The sequence below is a fragment of the Homo sapiens genome, chromosome 8 (genome assembly GCF_000001405.40).
Source record: "Homo sapiens chromosome 8, GRCh38.p14 Primary Assembly".
In the NCBI taxonomy this organism is placed as follows: domain Eukaryota; kingdom Metazoa; phylum Chordata; class Mammalia; order Primates; family Hominidae; genus Homo; species Homo sapiens.
This window is the reverse complement of record NC_000008.11, coordinates 140,933,557-140,952,765: the sequence shown is the minus strand read 5'-3', so window position 1 is coordinate 140,952,765 and position 19,209 is coordinate 140,933,557. Positions and strand designations below refer to the sequence as shown.

The 19,209-nt window shown below is 40.3% G+C and overlaps 1 protein-coding gene and 1 pseudogene across 175 annotated transcripts in view, besides 2 other annotated features; one reads left to right on the top strand and one right to left on the bottom strand.

The window, feature by feature from the left end:
- The window catches only part of PTK2 (protein tyrosine kinase 2), a 344,180-nt gene that overhangs the window by 49,314 nt on the left and 275,657 nt on the right, over positions 1 to 19,209 (top strand). For 56 of the 175 annotated variants that reach the window (NM_001352735.2, XM_047422054.1, XM_047422052.1 and 53 more), the window contains one exon: positions 4,043 to 4,100. The exons of the other annotated variants lie outside the window; for them this stretch is intronic. Coding sequence is in view for 25 of the 56 variants with exons in the window: in XM_047422045.1 (XP_047278001.1) it covers positions 4,065 to 4,100 (36 nt within the window). In the remaining 31 variants the exon portion in view is untranslated. The remainder of the gene's footprint in view (positions 1 to 4,042; positions 4,101 to 19,209) is intronic. 175 annotated transcript variants of the gene reach the window in all.
- Positions 2,734 to 3,722: an enhancer, noted in NCBI's record as "H3K4me1 hESC enhancer chr8:141959143-141960131 (GRCh37/hg19 assembly coordinates)". NCBI's record gives its function as "activates a minimal SCP1, AML or CMV promoter by ChIP-STARR-seq in primed H9 embryonic stem cells {active_cell/tissue: H9 hESC(primed)}" and the evidence as "EXISTENCE:reporter gene assay evidence [ECO:0000049][PMID:30033119]".
- Positions 3,002 to 3,296: a silencer, noted in NCBI's record as "tiled region #1764; K562 Repressive non-DNase unmatched - State 7:EnhWF". NCBI's record gives its function as "represses a minimal TATA promoter and a strong SV40 promoter by Sharpr-MPRA in K562 cells {active_cell/tissue: K562}" and the evidence as "EXISTENCE:reporter gene assay evidence [ECO:0000049][PMID:27701403]".
- Positions 12,103 to 12,204, bottom strand: RNA5SP278 (RNA, 5S ribosomal pseudogene 278; annotated as a pseudogene).

Here is a 19,209-nt window from a genome sequence, read left to right as displayed (position 1 = left end):
TAAGTCTGGTGGTAAATGGAGGACAGATAGGTTCATAGAGTATTTATAAATCTCTTTTGTGGGCATTTTGTTTATGTTGTTACAGTACATATCTCATAAACTTGGACTTCATGGAGTCAGAATTCATGATAATTTATAGCTGTATTGAATTTGACTTTCGCAAGTGTTTTTGGAGTATGGGCCTAGGATTATTTTTTAATTTCCACATGAGTGTCAGTTCACATCTTTCTTTGTTCTCTTTTCTCCCCCAAATCTATTTCTAGGTGTTAGTGAAGGGAAATTATGTCATACAGTTTCCATTTCTTTGCAAGGCCTAGAAGTCTGGGTCCTGTGTCCCCCTGTCCTTCATAGGCTAAGGGAGAGGAGCCTATTCTGTCCCTTGTGCTGTGCCAGATGTGATTGTTACAGTGTGAGAAGGTCACAGCCCCTCTATTTGTGTTCCCCTATTTCCTTCCCCCGTCCATATTGTACCTTTCTTCCTATAACAGTGCATTCTGTTTATTTGGGTGTGAGTCTGTGTGTGAGGGCAGTTTTGTTATTTCATCTCTGCTTAACCCGCAGTTAACTTGCACTAAATGCTGAATTAGGACTGTTTAACGCCTGTCACAAAATAAGTTCTCTTTTCTTAGTAGATCTGAGCAAAAGAAAGAATACCAACTGTAACTTTTCAGCAACATTAGCTGTAAAAATATTTCCTCTTGGTATAGCACAAGACAGTTCCATAGCAGAAATACAAAACTTACATTCTTAGTGTAATGTGCTGGGAAACGAAAGTCTAAAGAGAGGTGAGATGACAAACCAGCTATTTGTGACCCAAGAGCCATCTCATTGGCTCATTGGAACTTAAAAAAAAAAATTTTTTTTTTTTTAATTTTTCTTTGCAGATAGAGTCTTGCTCCATCACCCAGGCTGGAGTGCAGTGGTATGATCATAGCTCACTGTAGCTTCTGAACTCCTGGGCTCAAATGATGCGCCCATTTCAGTCTCCCAAGTAGCTGGAACTATAGGCACATGCTACCATGCGTGGCTAATTAAAAAAATTTTTTTGTAGAGATGAATCTTCCTTTGTTTCCCAAGCTGGTCTCAAACTCCTGGCTTCAAATGATTCTCCCACCTCAGCCTTCCAGAATGCTGGGATTATAGGCATAAGCCACTGCTCCTGGCCTCATTGGAACTTTTTAGCTATAGGACAAAATCTACCCATCTTGGTTTGTCCTTTTAAAATCATTTGAAAATATATAAACCCAGGAAAATAACCTCATAACCAGTGTTCCTGTAATTCCCCCCCACCGCAAATTCTGGACAGATGGTCAGTCCATATGTGTAAGTCTGGCTTCCAATCCATTGAATTTCATGATGTAATGCTGAGATATAGGTCCCTTATTTCACAGAGTTCCCCTTCGTAAGTCCGTTGGGCCATTTGAGCTCCTGCAGTATGGATCTGGTTGCGAAGCAGCTAGCTTTGGCGGAGTTGGTTCTTGGTCCTTGCCTTGTTTTTAAGTGACACATTGGAAGACAGAAATTTGGGAAGGAAGTATTTTAGAACCAGAACTCTAGGCAAGCAAAGGAAAGTTTGGGAGGAATTGAGTTGCTGGGATATATATGGAGATAATTTTCAGGGTTAATGTGGCATGGGAAGGTGATGGACAGAAAGGAAGGCCTCCCTGAGACCCTTCTGCAAAATCTCGTATTTGTGAATACAAGCATCTTTTATAGCATATGGGCAGATGAGCACAGCTGAGATAGATTGGACTCTGAGGTTCTGGGAGTGTTGACTTAAAAAAATATATATATTATTTATATTATTAGGTACCTCCTAATATGTAGTGATCCCTCCATATCTGTGGGGGATTGGTTCCAGGATTCCCCCAAGATACCAAAATCTATGGAGCCTGTCTCTTATATAAAATAGTGCAATATTTGCATATAACCTATGTATGTCCTCTCATATACAGTTAACCCCTGAACAGTGCGGGGGTGAGGGGTGCCCATCCCCTTTGCAGTTGAAAATTTGTGTATAACTTTTGACTCCCCAAAACCTAACTACTAATAGTGTCACAGGATCTTTGGGATGCCGCTTCACCAGCCAGAAATCACGGTGGCTGGTGGCACCTTCTGCCTGAGTATTGCCCATGCCCACTGGGCTTGTTCGCCTACTCGGCTTGGCATGCTGTGCTTGGCTCACACTACAAGCCTGGATCCCACACCTGCCAAGGGCGAGCCAGGCGCAGAGCTGTGAGGGGTGTGTGGGTGTGTGAGCATGTGGTCCAGCCACCTTGCACAGCCAGCTGCTGTAGCGGGGTGGGCAGCTCCAGGCACTGGCACAGGTGCCAGTTCTGTGCAAGGCTGCAGCTGGACCAGATGTACTGCATGCAGCCTCTGCTGTGGAAACCCGCATCTGGATGAGGGGAACGAGGTGGCGCCCAGAAGAGTGGAGATGCCAGGAACTGCAAAGCCCCAAAGAGGGTGTCATAGCCCTGGCTCGGGGATTCTCCTCTGCTCGTTGCTCACAACATGGCAAGCAGGAGGCCGTGTTTTAGTCCTGTTTGTGTTATAGCTCTTTCAGTCCCTGCATTTGGCAGGTCTCGAGTTCTTATCCAGTGTCCAGGAAGAATGAGGTACATGGACAACTGGAGGATGAGCAAGGTGGAGAGGGGCTTCATTGAGCAGCAGAACAGCTCTCAGGAGACCCAAAGTGGGTAGCTCCTTTCCACAGGCAGGTTGTCCTGGTGAGTTGAAGAGACCCAAAGTGGGTAGCTCCTTCCTGCAGCTGGTAGTGCTAACATCTCTCTGAGTCTGGGGTTTTTATGGGCTCAGAAGGGAGGAAGTGCGTACTGATTGGGCCATGGGCAGGCCCGGAAAAAGCACCATAAGTTCTCACTCCAGGCTGTAGACTCCACCCGTAACTGGTGGCCTGGCTCCCGGGCTTCAAGGCTGTCCCTGGCTTGAAGGTGGAATTTCATGGGGGACCTGCCCCTTTCTATCCAGGAGCCTTTCTGCCTTCTCCCACCATCAACAAGCCATCCATGGCACCTAGGCTGTTCATGACGAGGTGTGCCTGCAGGCCCACACTGAGCCACCCTCAGCTCCCCCTTGGCCTCCCTCCCGTGCTTGTCAGTGCCCAAAGTCTGGAGTGGGCCAGGGCGGCAGGGGGCTGGTGTGTCAGCGCTGCCTCGAGCATGTGCATACTCGGCCAGGTTGTGACAGACTCAGGCTCAGCCACAACTTTGCTCTGCCCTGGAGTGGGCTGGGGAGAGGCCAGGAGCCTGTGAGGGCGGGGGGGCTTCCCGGACCCCTAAGAACGCAGGGATGCCCAGCTCCGGAGCCGAGGCTAGGAGGCTGCAGCTGTACCTGGGAATGTGGGGCTCCTGCCCCGCCAACTCAGTAGGGGGTTGGGATTTCCACCTGTTCCCACCTCCTGCCAGCCCCACTGCAGCCTGTGTCTTGGCAGCAGCCCCTCCAGACTGGCTTCCACTGCTATCAGTACTGTAGACTGGAAGCCTTATTGAGAATATAAACAGTTGATTAACACGTTTTGTATATGTATTATATACTGTATTTTTACAACAGAGTAAACTAGAGAAAAAATATTAAGAAGATCATAAGAAATATTAAGAAATATAGAAATATTAAGAAATATTAAGAAAATATACTTATTAAATGGAAGTGGATCTTCATAAACATCTTCATTCTCATTGTCTTCATGTTGAGTAGGCTGAGGAGGAGGAGGAGGAAGAAGAGGGGTTGGTCTTGCTGTCTCGGGTGGCAAAAGTGGAAGGGGAGGCAGGAGAGGCAGGCACACTCAGTGTAACTATTATTGAAAAAAAATCCCCCTATACGTGGACCTGTACCATTCAAATCCATGTTGTTCAAGGGTCAACTGTACTTTAAATCATCTCTAGATTGCTTATATTGCCGAATACAATGTAAATCCTTTGCAAATAGTTGTTATACTGTATTATTTGGGGGATAATGACAAGAAAAGCATCAGTACATGCTTGGTATAGATGCAGTCATTCATTTTTTTCCTCAAATATTTTAGATCCATGGTTGGTTGAATCTGGATGTGGAACCCGCTGACGTGGATGGCTGACTGTATTGTATGTTAAACTTTATCATTTGTGACTTCTCTGTTTTAAATGACCTGTTGATTTTCTGATTTGGGATATAAAGGTTTAGCTTATTTATGTTATTCCCCATATCTCTTCCTGCATTACTTATTGTTAAATAGTTGATATGTGTATTTTTCTTTTAGAAGTCTTCTGTTGTAATTTTACCAATATCTTTCCTTTGCTTGGGTTATTGATTCATGTCAATATCTTGATTCCTTTTAAGATAAAGATAGTATTGCCCTAAATATTGACCCTTCCCCCCAGTTCCAGCATGTCTCCCTGTTCTGCCTCATATTTTGTTTTTGTTATTTCTTTTATGTTGGGATTTTTACATTTGTATTTTATCTGCAACTACAAGTGTTCTGGGGACTGCTCATGGGTTGAACTCTAAAACTAGTTTATTATTTTTAATTTTAAGTTTTCTTGAGCTTTCCCAGCTTAGCTTTCTTTCAAGGCCAGTTTTTCTCTTTGTTTTCTCCGGTATTTGTTTCTTTTTCATGAAGGTGGTATTCCCTGTATGTCTGATGATCCTTTATTGTCTGTAAGTGTATAGGGAAGCAGGACTAGCTACTTTTCGGAGTTAGATTTAGCCCCTGGTAGGAATTCAGAACTGAAGTACTTTGCTTCAGCATGCTTTTAGTCTGTGGGCCCCTAAATAACAAAATAAAGGAGAGTTTTACTGTAAGGTTGTTAACACCTATACCAGAAACCTTTGCTTTATTTTCTAGAGAAATAGCCCCTTGGGATTTTTAAAAAATTATTATTATTATTATTTTTTGTCCGAGGGTAAATGCTGAGTTAGCCTGGGCACAACTAGTCAGTTAAACCCTGTTTTCACCCCTGGCTATTAACATCAGCCCTCCCCAATACCTCATGGCCAGGCCCAAAGCCTCATCAAGATTCACTTGAGTTTTGTCTCTGTTTTACACATCACTGTGCGTGTAGCTCCTCTTTAATAGCTAGATATTTGTTGAATTCTCATCTTTTGGTGGCTCTTCCCTTCCTCTTATTTACCTTTAAAAAAAAAAACTTGCATACTTCAGTTTCATTGAAGTCTTCACAGGAATAAAACTCATTACTCTACCACCTTGAAGTTGAAACCACTGAGGATTTTAGGAGGTGGGGTGGCATGTTGATCTGTAGGGTGAGGATTTTAAGTGGTGGAGTGATATGTTGGTTTGCTGTGTGGCTAGTTTTAGAGTTAGATGAGCTCGAGTTCAGACTTTGGTGCTGCCACTTTTAGCTGTGGAACTTTGGTCAAAACATTTTATTTTTCTTATCCTCAGTTTCCTCATTTATTGAACAAATATTTATTGAGACATTGTTTGTAGCATGATGATGTGGGGATAGTTGAGGTAGTTCTTTTATAATGCCTTCTGTATTTCTCTAAAGTAGGATTTGAAGTCATCTCCTAAGAAGGAGTGGAAAAAGCAATGCTGGGGTTGGAGATTTGATGATAGTGGAGGAGGTTTGAAATAGGGATAGTGAGGACAGAGCCAAGCAGGGGTGGAGAAGGCTTGCCTAGGAGTGTTGTGGTTCAACTGAGATTGGTGACAGTTAAATTAGAATGTACGAATTTTTTTAGTTAATGATGTTTTGTCTGGTGCTGGCTCTCAGCAGTCCAGGTGTAGTCTGGTATAAGTTGTCCTAATATTTGTATTGAATCATGAAATGGACTTTTTTCCAGGCTTGTTTATTGGAAGGACAGTGGGAGTTAGTAATATTGGTCAAAGATTGGTTTGAACTATGACTTTACAATTCAGGAAATGTTTGTTGAACTTTTACTAAGTGCTTGGCATGGTTCTAATTGCTTTAGATAGATGTATCAGTAGACCAAACAGAGTCTGTATAGTGTAGGGAAGCAGATAATAAAAAAATAATAAGCAAATGAGTACATTATGTAATGTACTGGAAGGTGGGACGTGGGATGAGAAAAAAGTAATGCCATAGTATGAGTGAATTTGAGGTCTAAATAGGGTAGTCATAATAAGCCTCACTGCAAAAGTGAGATTTGAGCTAAATACAAAGGAGATGGGTGTATTCATGCGGGAAACCACAGGCTCCTGTCCGGTCTTCCATCTGCTTCCCAGAAGCAACGGAAATAATCTGTTTTAGGTGTTGATTTTAGCTTTTACATTCTTGTTTCCTAATAGTATTTGTTTACTAGTCATTGCTCCATCAATTTTAGAAAAAGTTATATACTGAACTCCTATCATGGTAGGTAGGGATTTTCTCTCTCTTACGTGGTCTTTCCTCTCCCCCATCTTCCTCGTGTAGTTCTAGAACAGTTTTTGTTTAGATCCGTATTTTCGTTTTTAATTATTTTGACTTTTAAACATAACTCAGTATTGAGCCAATTGAAGTAGTATGGTTGCATTTCTTGTTCAGCTTTGTTTTTCTTGTTTTCTTGGACTGAAAATTGCAGTTGTCCCTCTTGTTTGCTTAATATTCTTAGGTCTGGCTAAGGTTTCCTACTCTGACAGCTCTGTAAGTAGGGCCTCTCAATTAGTTTCCATGCAGTCAAGTGTATTCATTTTGTCTTCACCCCCTAGACACACCCCTCCTGGAGCTTTCCTTCTCCTTTTCCCTGCTTCAGTCTAGAGAGGTTGCTCTCTAGACCTGCTGTAAATGGTACCAGGGTGGAGAAACCTGTGGTACCAGCAAAAATAAGGCGAGAACAGGTAAGACAGGTGAGTAGAAAATACTGATTGAAAAAACTGATGGGAAGGACAGAGGAGGAATGGAGATGATGTCTTCTTGGGGAATTGTGTTAAGGAGAAACTAGAGTTGAGGAAGAGCATTCTAGGTAGTGAAAATGGTGCCAGAAAAAGCATGGAGATGGAAGTGATCTTTTATTTTTTGGTGACTTGAAAAGCCTGTGTTGTGTTACCTTCTTAGATTATATGTATATTAACTTATTGACTTTGCCCTGAAGAGCTTTTAAAAAAGTTTAAATGGGAATTGTGACAATCAGGCCCTGAGGAGCTTTAAAAAAGTTTAAATGGGAATTGTGACAATCAGAATGTTAAACATTGATATATTTTTTGTTTTGTTTTTTTTTGAGAAATAAAGGTCTCATTTTGTCACCCAGGCTGTAGTACAGTGAGTGGCATGTTCATAGCTTACTGTAACCTTAAACTCCTGGGTTCAAATGATCCTCCTGCCTCAACCTCCCAAGTAGCTGAGACCACAGGTGCACACCACTGTGCCTGGCTAATTTTTAAAATTTTTTGTGGAGGAAGGCTCTCACTATGCTGCCCAGGCTAATCTCAAACTCCTGGGCTCAAGTGATCCTCCTGCCTTGGCATCCCAGAGTGCTGGGATTACAGGCATGAGCCATAGTGTCCAGCCTTGATGGTAAATTATTAATGTCCTAAAACCTGAACATAGGATATATCAGGAACACTTGAATTCAAGTGATAACCTTAAACTGTTGATTTTATATATTGATTTACGGAAAAATCTTTACGCATTGGTTACAAAAACTTAATAATCTTGGCATCTAACTATCCAAGCCAATTCATCAGTGCAGGAATGAGTGCTGTAGTACCACTTCAGTTTTCAGGCAAGAACAAGATGAACGACAACAGGAAATTTAAGAAGCTGCTCCGTGTTTGGCCAAATTGGAGAGAGGGCAAGCAGGGAAGTTGGAAAAATGTCATTGAGGCATGTAAGCACAACTTTCGTCTATATGGCGTAGCTATATAGAGAAAATTAAGCCAACAATAATGAGATACTGAAAAACCAAGAGATGAGTACCTTTCTAAAAGAAGCATTGCTCAGTTTGAAATGCTGAAGCAAAATGCTAAGAAATAAGGTTCACAAGTGGTCTTCATGATTGCAAACTCTAGAGTACTTTTTGTGTAAATGCATGGGACTTCTCATGGATGGTCAGGCCGTTATGTTCAGTGGGTGCGCTGTACACAAATATTACTTGCCGGCTGAAGCTTTGACTTTTTACTCAGTTTTGTGAAGAGCACATCCTTCTGGTCTTTATTTGCACTGTGATTCAGGAGTCGCGGCTGAAGGAAATAGTCATAAATCGTAATCGCTGTCATGTGTCAGTCATTGTGTTAATTCAAATCTTAATTCTTTACAGCAGCTCAGTAAGGTTTTGATTACTATTCTCATTTTACAGATGAGAAACTGGGCTTAGAGAAGTTAAGAAGACAGTCCAAGATTCCTCGTGGCAGTATCAAGTTCTCCATTTCCTTACAGTAAAGCTTAGGCCTTAAGGTTAACCACAGTGCACAATTGGGAGTCATACATTTAACAGAGAGAAGAATAGTGCCACCTACTGAATTGCCAGTGACCCTTTCCCCTCTAGTATTGTACTTCCTTTTAAAATGTATCAGTCGTGTTAAAATGCAGTATTTCTGCAAAGCCTTGCAAATTTCTTAATCATCTGTGTTGCTGGCTTATACTGAGGGAAGAGTGTAGTTTCATAAAATACTCGTCAAAACAGGGAAAATTTTGATTTCCTGATTCTGAAAGTGGGCAGGCAACTTTGCATAGGATCTTACCTTCAGAGAAAGGAAGAGACGGGGATGAGTGTTTTTTCTTTCAATCCGTCTTTGCATATCATAGTGTTGTGAGTTGGGGTGGCAAGTAGGCAGTTTAGATTTTTACCCAGTACTCATGAATTCCAAATGGTTTAACAAAATATACAAACACTTCAGCATTTTTTCTTTGATAAACTGTCTGATTAAAAAAGATAGGTGTCTCAATAAAAATTTCAATGAAAAAGTGGCCAAAAGATTTGGACAGACATTTCATCCATTTCATATGAATGAGAGTAAGCACACAAAAAGATGTTCCACATTAGTAGTCGTTAGGAAATGTAAATTACAACCACACGAGATATCATTGCAACCCTATTAGAATGGCTGATGTTAAAAACCAAAAAGAAGGTGACAGTGCCACATGACAAGAATGTGAGACAGTTAGTACTCTCCTGCTTTGCTGGTGGAAGTGCAAAATGTTATGATTGCTAAAGAAATCAGTTTGGCACTTTCTTATGAAGTTGAACATAGACTTGTCACCCAACCCAGCAGTCCTACTTCTAAATATTTACTCAAGAGAAATGAAAACATTTTCTTACAATGACCTCTATGTGAACATTTATAGCAGCTTTATTCGTAATCACTGGAGACAGCTCAAATATCCATCAGTTGGTAAATGGATAAACAGATTTTGGTACACCTATACAATGGAATCCTATACAGCAATAAAAAGGAACTAACTGCTGACGCACCTAACAAAATGGGCAGATCTTCAAAGCAGTCTACTAAGTGAAAACACTAAACTCCATATAACTGTGATTTCATTTATATAACATTTTGGTAAGTCAAATCTGTAAGAACAGAAATAAAATCAGTGGTTGCCTGGGGCGGAAGAGAGAATTGAGTATAAAAGAGCATGGGGGCACTTCTTGGGGTGATGGAAATAGTCTGTGTCTTCAGCGTGGTGGTGGTTACACAGACCCACTTGTATTAGGCTGTTCTTGCGTTGGTATAAAGAAATACCCAAGACTGGGTAATTTGTAAAGAAAAGAGGTTTAATCGGCTCACTGTTCTGCGGGCTGTACAGGAAACATGGCACCGGCTTCCAGGGAGGCGTCGGAGAGCTTTTACTCATGATGGAAGGTGAAGTGGGAGCAGATGCGTCACATGGCAAGAGAGAACAAGAGAGAGAGTGGGAGGTGCCATACACTTTTAAACAACCAGATCTCACATGAACTCGCTTGTCACCAAGGGAATGGCACTAAGCCATTCATGAGGAATACGCCCCCGTGATCCAAACACCTCCTACCAGGCTGCACTTCCAACACTGGGGACTACATTTCAACATGAGATTTGGCTGGGAAACAGATCCAGTCCTTATCACCATCCACCTGATGTTTTTATTGTGCACGTTATGCCTCAAGAAATAAAACTTTAAAGAGAAGAAAAAGTGACTTATATGCAAACAGATATTATCCATATACTCTTGCACACATATATGCGCGCACACACACACACACACACGCACGCACTCATTAGAGCTCAAATTTTCTTTCCAGCTGGATCAACATTTATTTGTCTGGATTAGGTACCACCAAAGTTGAAGTGAAGTAGATTTCAGTGTAGACACTGCTTTTGAAAACAGTCTTGAAGTCCTTGATTCATTTATGTAATCTGATTTATTTGTGGCCTAAAGGCTTTATATTTGTCTTTGTATAATGAGATTGTATATTATAAAGGTCATATAATTAGCAGAAATAAAAGATGTTTAAAAGTTATTTTAGTATTTGTTGCTCAAGTTCTTGTAGCTCTGGAGAAAAATAGTTTTATCAGCGTTATAAATAAAAATGCTATTTCTTATATTGATGAAACTATGCAGTCTTCAGCTCCATCTTTTAGTTAATAGTTAATGAGCTATAATGGTAGGGTACATTTATGTTTTAAACTGCTAGAATTAAGAATGTACATAGTAAGTCTAGGTGCAGAGGTTCATGCCTGTAATCCCAACCCTTTGGGAGGCTGAGGTGGGAGGATCGCTTGAGCCCAGGAGTTTGAACAACATGGCAACACCTCATCTCTACAAAAAATTTTAAAATTAGCCAGGTGTGGTGGCACATGCCTGTGGTCCCAGCTACTCGGGAGGCTGAGGCGGGAGAATTGCTTGAACCTGGGGGTGGTCAAGCTGCAGTGAGCTATGTTCACCCCACTGCACTGCAGCCTGGACGACAGAGCAAGTCCCTCTCTCAATAAAACAAACAAACAAACAAACAAACAAAAAGTTAGCTGGGCGTGGTGGTGCGTGCCTGTAGTCCCAGGTACTTGGGAGACTGAGGTGGGAGGATCGCCTGAGCCTGAGGGGTCGAGGCTGCATTGAGCTGAGATCATGCCACTGCATCCCAGCGTAGGTGACAAAAGTGAGACCCTGTCTCCAAAAAAAAAATAGAGTTGCTCATTACTACTTTGTGGTACTTGTTGATGTCCTGTGGAGCAGCCATTTAGCATTTTTTTTCCCAATAAACTCTTGGTTAAAAAGCCACAACAGTGAGTAGGAGTGGAATCAAAGTAGAAAGTTGTATGTTCTAATTTTCGTTTAAAAATCAGTTTATTTTAAATGATGAGCTCATCATTTTACGATCTTCAGGATATACTATAATGTGTGGCACTAATAGAATCAGTGATAGAATAAGGTGCATTACAGTAGGGCTTCCTAAGTTGCTTTTTGTTTATTTAATGCATATGCTCTTCTGTGTCTTGAGACACTGTCTCCAGCAGATGAGACCTGTTTATTACAGCCTCTGCAGAGAACTATTTGTGTGTTGATCACACAGTAAATATCTAATGGTAGCCTCTTTGACATTTGGTGTTTGGGAACAGGAGGGAGATTGCTGATTGTTCTGCTTTTTATATTTTATTGTCTCACTCCATCCCTGTATTTTTCTCTGGGAATGTCTTCATTAACTTAACCCTGGTTTTGAAGGCTTAAAAGTGTGCTGGTACGCTTTTTAGAATTGGTGACAGTTCCGGTTGGTGTAGCCCAGGTGGCAGTCATTCATGGTTCACTTGTCATTGCATGAACTTGGGATAGCTGTTCATATTGTGTTCATTTCAGTTGAATTTATGTGTGTGATTGTTGTATTACACATGTTGAATTTATTTTTTTTTAATTAAAAAAATTTTTTTTGAGATGGAGTTTCGCTCTTGTCACCCAGGCTGGAATGCAATGGTGTGGTCTCAGCTCACTGCAACCACTGCCTCCTGGGTTCAAGCAATTCTCCTGCCTCAGCCTCCCAAGTAGCGCAGGTACTCACCACCATGCCCGGCTAATTTTTGTATTTTTAGTAGAGACAGGGTTTTACCATGTTGTCCAGGCTGGTCTTGAACTCCTGATCTCAGGTGATCTGCCTGCCTCAGCCTCCCAAAGTGCTGGGATTACAGGCGTGAGCCACTGTGCCCGGCCATGTTCATATTAAAAAAACAATTTTATTTTAAGCCTACAGCACCCAGTATTTTCAGGCAGCCTCCCAATCCCAATACTACTAACCAGGCCCCACGCTGCTTAGCTTTTGAGATTGGATGGCATGGCTGTAGACCATGGTCATATTTTGGCAAGTGATGTCCCTTATAGCAGTTCTTACCCTTGATACAGGATCCTGTCTGGAATCACTTGTAATATATAGTCATGACTCTTTAGTCTTTTTTTTTTGAGACAGAGTCTCGCTTTGTCACCCAGACTGGAGTGCAGTGGCACTATCTCATCTCACTGCAAGCTCCGTTTCCCGGGTTCAGGCCTGCCTGAGTCTCTCAAGTGGCGCCATCCACACCTGGCCAATTTTTTTGTTTCACTATTTTGGCCAGGCTGGTCTCGAACTCCTGGCTTCAGGTGATCCACCCGCCTCGGCCTCCCAAATGCAAAGTAGTGTTTCTTTCCTGATGTACAGGATGTTGTGTTTTTCATCATGAACATAACTGTTAATCCCAAGTTCTTCAAGCAAAAGTCTGTATTTATTACTTGCCCATCCTATCAGGGATATGTTAGGATATGTCAATACGAACAGTAAGTGTAGCTGGAGCTAGTGATGAGTGAATGTGAATCAAGAAAAGTAAATGGATTTATTCTTTCATTCGACACAGTTGAGTGCCTTCCGTGGGCCAGGCCCCGTGCTCTACTCTGTTCTTCTGTTCATTTTTCCCCACTCATCTTTCAGATGATTCCTTGGTGATTTGGAGTTGTTTTTGGCACTTCGCCTAGATTTTGATGTAAATTTTAGTAACTCAGTCTCTCCCTTTTAAAAGGTATCTTTCTTTCTTAATTTGTGACATCGAGATTATCACTAATAAATAGTTAATGCCAGAGCAGGACAAATATCAAAATAATTTTTCATTGTATAAGCCTTTTGCGAAATGATTTACCATAAAGTGAATAAATGTGTACATACTACCTAGTTTTTATCTCCTAGTGACAACAGCTTTGAAATAAAAAAAATCCTGGTAGAATAATGGTGTTTGGGTATATGTATGACATAGGTGACCTAGAATGAGGGACTAGATGTGACTTCTAGGCCACATGGCCAGAATGGTATGTAATATTTGACTGTGGAAGATTTGTGCAACCCCAAATGATAATTTTATTCTGGGCCTGTAGGGTTGATGAAGGCTACCTGTTGGATTTGTGTGGAAACTGGATCCTAAATCTATCATCTTTTGATGGACTAGGGGCAGATGAGACTTGATCATTGTTAGAGCTGAACTTGCAGTATATAGAGCTGAACTTGTATAGTACACATATCAATAGCAGTGATAGATGTGGGAAAACTTTGATCACTTATGTATGCTTGTCATTAATTTTTTTGCAATTTCTTGAATGAAAAATTTTGAACTAGTAAACATTTAAAAATAAAATGTATAGTTTTTTCGAATCTGGCTTTAAATGTTTAGAATAAGTCTCTGGATTTAAAGGTTAGGATATACTTTTATTCATTAGATGATAAAGTTTATTGTGTATGCATCTGGAAGATTGTTCAGACTGTTGAAGAAGATGTATCCTTTGTTTGCCCCCAGCCCTTTCCTTTTCTTCCCCAACCCTACTTTTATTCACGTAAGAAGATGGAAGAGGGGAGGAAAGCAGGGTGTGACTTTTTATGCAAAAATATTCTTTTTTCAAAAAAAAAAATACTGAGAATGGGGTCTTACTGTATTGCCCAGTCTGGATTTGAACTCTTGGGCTCAAGCGATCCTCCTGCCTTAGCCTCCTGAGTAGTTGACATTACAGGCATGCACCACCACACCTAGGTAAAATATTTTGATTATGAAAACGAGTCAGTTTATAAGTGGATTTTATTGAGAAGAAGAGGATAACAAAGCTTGGTCAAATGTTTGCATGGCATTTGTACAGTAATCATGATGGCTGTTTTTATTTTAGGACATACTGTGGCTGCTGCCAGACATTTACCCAAGGGGTGGTGCGGAGTTGTTTCCTCAGCTGAAGCTCTTTGTTTTGTACCACTGAGCTGAGGCTGGAGTTGCCCCCAAAGCAGTGGCAGGGCAGTTCCCACAAGGGAGTGCTCCAGATTATCCTGAGATGGGGCTGGTTGGGATTCTAAAGAAAGAAGTACTAAACACCAGGGTGATCAGTCTAGAGCATTTATTGGGGAAACTTACAGAGGATTGCGACAATCCTTGTGACAGACAGCAAAAAGGAGTGGGGCGGTGTTCTCTCTAGGTATGTCTGCAGCAAGGGGATTAAGGTGTGGAGTTTTTATGAGAGTTTGAGGAATTTGTCTCAGGTCTAGGGCTAGTTTCTTTTAGTGTTTTGTGCAGCAACTTAGATACCTTTATCAATGCCTGGGAATGTTTAAGGCTCCATACTGAGTTCAAGCTTGCTAGGGAAAACCTGCACGTGGCTGGGTCACAGAGCGGTCAAAGCACTCTGGTATTTGGTCAGGACATAGAATGAAAGCACAGGGAACAGGACAGCCCTACACTAGTGGACTTAGTGATGGACGCCTTCTATTTGCATCGTCTCTCTTTGCATGAGGGGAGACAAAGATACTCTCGATTTTGTACTGTGAATTGTGTTAGATGTGAAGAGGAGGTTGTGTTGTCTTCTTAGATAACTGTTAGAATAATGTAGAGATCAACTAAGTTTGAGGATACAAAAAGTGAGATTGTACTGAGTATATTTTTCAACAGAAGAAATAATTTTGGTCATGTTCTTTTTGTTTTATTTGTAAGAGATGGGGTGTTGCTATGTTGCCTGGGCTGGACTCAAACTCCTGGACTCTGGTGATCCTCCTGCCTCAGCCTCCCAAGTAGCTGGGACTACAGACGTGCAGCCACTGCCACTATGTCCAACTGAATCATATTCTATATGGAAAGATTACATTGTAGTAAATATGTGTTGTACTTTTGTGGTCACATTAAAAATATGTAAATGTATTTGATGTATTTTGGGACTAGGAATATGCAGTTACATTAAACCCTGTATGTAGTAATGCCATTATTTTTGTTTTCTTTCCAATTTTTGTTAGATTAAATCAGATTTGTTTTTTTGTGTTTTTTTTTTTTTTATTGTTTACTTAAAGATGGCATTTGATTTCCTTAAACTTGGGAGATACATACTAGCAAATGCCTGTAGTCAAAGGTGGTTCCTGGGTAATTCAAGGGTGCCAATTAGAGTATACTTTAAGCCACGTGTAATTATGTCCAGGCTTTATATATACTTAGAGCATAAAAATAAACTTTCATTCTCTCATATTTAAGTCCATTTTATATAGACAAATTCATGGCATAACTTTATTTTCAGAAAAATCAGGTGTGGAAATACTTAAAACCACAGCTGAAGTAAATTATAATTTCCTCAGGAAGTAAGTATAAAAGTATGCAATAACGATTATAAAAAGAAAATTTAAATTCTTTAACATATTTTTTGCAGTTTCTTGCCCTCCATCACTTATTTTAAAAAATGGATGTTCTTAAAAATGTGCAAATTAGGTGTATATTTTAATGACACCTGTACTACAGGAGATCCATGTTTCTGTATTACATTAATATAAATCTTATTTGTCTAGGATCAGAAATCAAATGCTTTTAGTTGTTGCTGTTAATTATCTTTACATCTGTTTTTGATGTTTAGCTTTCCTGTTTGTGAGTAAACTACTTTATTAGCTATTAAGATGCATGGAAAGGCCGTATCCCAAAAGAGCAGTAGTCATTATAATAGCTTTATGTAATTAACTGAAAGCAGTATTTTTCTCTAAAAGGTTATCATCTTAGAAAGTTAAAAAAAAAAGATGTTCTCTAGAATATCCTTTGTCCTATTGGACTGATGAGCTGCAGATAATGGTAATTTTTATATTTAAAACTATTGTGGGACTTAAGTTTAAAATTTTATGTAGTATTTCAAGTTGTAACTTTGCCATGCTTAAAAATCATAGCAACCAAAGTGTCTGATGTGATGTGTGCTGTGACACATTCGGAGATGGCTCTTTAATTTGCTGGTGGAGGTGTGAAGGTTAAGGAGGTCCAGTTTTTGAATTGGTTACAGATTGTTTCTGAGGTAGATCAAGATCTGATCTTTTTTTTTTTTAGGGCAACTAAAGATGCCCCTGAAACATAACAACAGCATTGGTCGGGTGCAGTGAGTCAGGAAGGCCCCCATATTTGCATCCCAGGTAGAAAATGGGCCTAACAAGTTGTTCTTTTTGCTTTTAGTTGAAGTGTCTTTTATTATAGTGGCCCCTCCTCCTGTGTTTTACCTTATACCTTGTTGTAGACTTCGTGAGCGCTCAGTACATTGCTGAGAATTTAGGATGACGTTGATTTATCTATACAGTACATGTTTGTCTTCTCTTGACCTCTTTAGGTGATGTAGATGTGTAAAATTTACAGTGTTCATTGATCCTGCTTCTTGTTTTCCCACAATTGATTTTATTAGTTAAAAAGATTGAATTCACAAAACTAGAAGGTTCTGACCTACTTAATTTTTTTAATTTTAGAGACAGAGTTTTACTCCAGCTCAGGCTGGAGGGCAATAGCACTATCATAGCTCACTTGTAGCCAAGCAATCCTCCTGTCTCAGCCTCCTGAGTAGCCGGGACTACAGATGCATGCCACCATGCCTGGCTTATTTTTAAAAATTTTCCTTTTGGAGAGATGGGGTTTCACTTTGTTGCCTAGGCTCTGATCTACTCTTAAAAGATGAGGACAGGCCGGGTGTGGTGGCTTACACCTGTAATCCCAGCACTTTGGGAGGTTGAGGCGGGTGGATCACAAGGTCAACACGGTGAAACCCTGTGTCTCCTAAAAATACAAAAAATTAGCCAGGTGTGGTGGCGGATGCCTGTAGTCCCAGCTACTCAGGAGCCTGAGGCAGGAGAGTGGCATGAACCCAGGAGGAGCTTGCAGTGAGCCGAGGCAAAGAGCGAGACTCTGTCTCAAAAAAAAAAAAAAAGATGAGGACATACTGAGCATTGAGATTACATGAACAGCGCATTAGGAAAAAAACTTTCATTTTATTGGTTTCAAATAACAGAGTGAATCTCAGATAGAGGTCTTTGCAAGCCAGTTTGGCATTGGACTCAGCTTTGAACCCCTCCCCGTCTTCCCTTGTCTCTAGTATAGGATAACCCCGTTTATATTCAGGCGAGGTACTAATAACTTTCTTCTGGGAGGACCTGTCTACAGTTGATGGGTCCTGAGGCCAGAGAACCATGGATACATCGCAGCCTAGGTGTTATTTATGCTCTCTAAGAATCTGTCAGGATAAGTCACTCTGAGGCATAGGTGCTTACCTCTGGACCTGGGGTGCTTGCCTTCAGTGAATTGTAATCCTGATTCTTGATTCCTTCTTGAGTTGTTGATATGAATCATTTTTTCTTTTCCACAGTAGCTCCTGCTATAATATGCTCTGGGGCCCTGGGACATTTCATGGGTGTAAAGTAGCTTTTTTCCTTCTGTTTGGTTCTATCGTTTATGGACAGTTTGTCTAATAGATATAAAATAAACATTTATATGTTGTTGAAAAGTTGTTCCTATCTCCCCCTTTCTTTAATGCTCTCATAGTTCTAATTAGCTATACACATTTAACAATTGTGATAATACTTTTAACCTCTGATTGACAACTTACTTAAGATCATGTGTCACTTGTTAATGTTGTAATTGCAGTGCTGATTCAAACTTCAAAATGGAGTTTTTTATGTCCTCCTTTTCTGCATAAACACAGTAACAGTCTAATCTCTCTAACTCCATTTTGATATCTCTTTCTTTTCCCTACAGAAAAGAAAACATCTTGCTAGAGAGAGATCAATAGAGAGTTGTTTTCAGAAGTGAACTTTATATGCAGAAAATAGGAATAAGTCTATAACAACAGATGGTCAGAAAATTTCATCACTGTCATAGCAGAGGCTTAGCAGAATATAACTTGATAAACACTACTTGTTTAAAACTTTTGAGGCCGTTTAGCAGGAACATTGGGGAGGTGTTATTTCTCATGGGTGGTTTAGATCTCTTAGAGCGTTCTGGGCCATTGTGAGGTCTTGTGCATTTGTTCTGAGTCAGATGGGAAGCCACTGGAGGATCTTGAGCAGAGGCGTGACGTAAATTTTAAGAAACTTGTTGGGATGGTTGTGTTCTAAAGTTAAGGAATCAAGGATGATGTCAAGGTATTTTCATTAGCAGCTAGGAGAATGGAGTTGCTAATTTCAAAAAAAAAATTTATTTTTTTATTTTTTAGAGACAAAGTCTCCTTATGTTGCTCAGGATGCTAGAGTGCAGTGGCTATTCACAGGTGTGATCATGGTATGCTGACAGCCTCAGACTCCTGTCCTTAAGCTGTCCTCCTGCCTCAGCCTCCTGAGTAGCTGGGACTACAGGCGCATGACACTGACCCCAGTGCTATTTACTGATTTGGGGAAATCTGTTTCAGGATTAGGTTTTGAGGGGAAAGCCAAGGGTTTATCTTCAATTTCTTATAATTGTAAACAAGATTTTAGACCAATGATTTATTAGATATATGATTTCTTTTCTGTAATGTTTATAGTTCATTTAGGAATTTTAGTTATTTATTTGTGTTTCTTTTTCTTTCTTGGTTGATCTTCTAGAACTTGTTGTTTCTGAATACCAACTGGTGGCTTTTATTTGTTAAAGGTATTTTTTTTTGTCCTTTAGCTCTATGTCATTTATTTTATATTTATCGGCTCCTTTTCCTTATCTTCCTCGTGTGTGGCACTTTAATCTTTGTCTTGTAAGACTTGAAAATCTCTACTCACTGCCTTTAGAGGCTTTGTGTCTTTTTTTTTAAATTGACGTATAATTCTCATACTATACAATGAGTACAATCACCACCATCAATTTTAGAAATTTCCCTCACCCCAAAAGAAAACCCCATACCCACCAGGAGTCACTCTTTATTCCTTATCTTCAGCCCAAGGAAACCACTAACCTACTTTCTTATAGATTTGCCTATTCTGGACATTTTATATAAAAGGAATCAGGCTGTATGTGGTCTCTTGTGGCTTCTAACACTTGGCATAATGTTTTCAAGGTTCATCCATGTTGTAGCATGTATCAGTACTTCATTCCTTTTCATTGCAGAATAA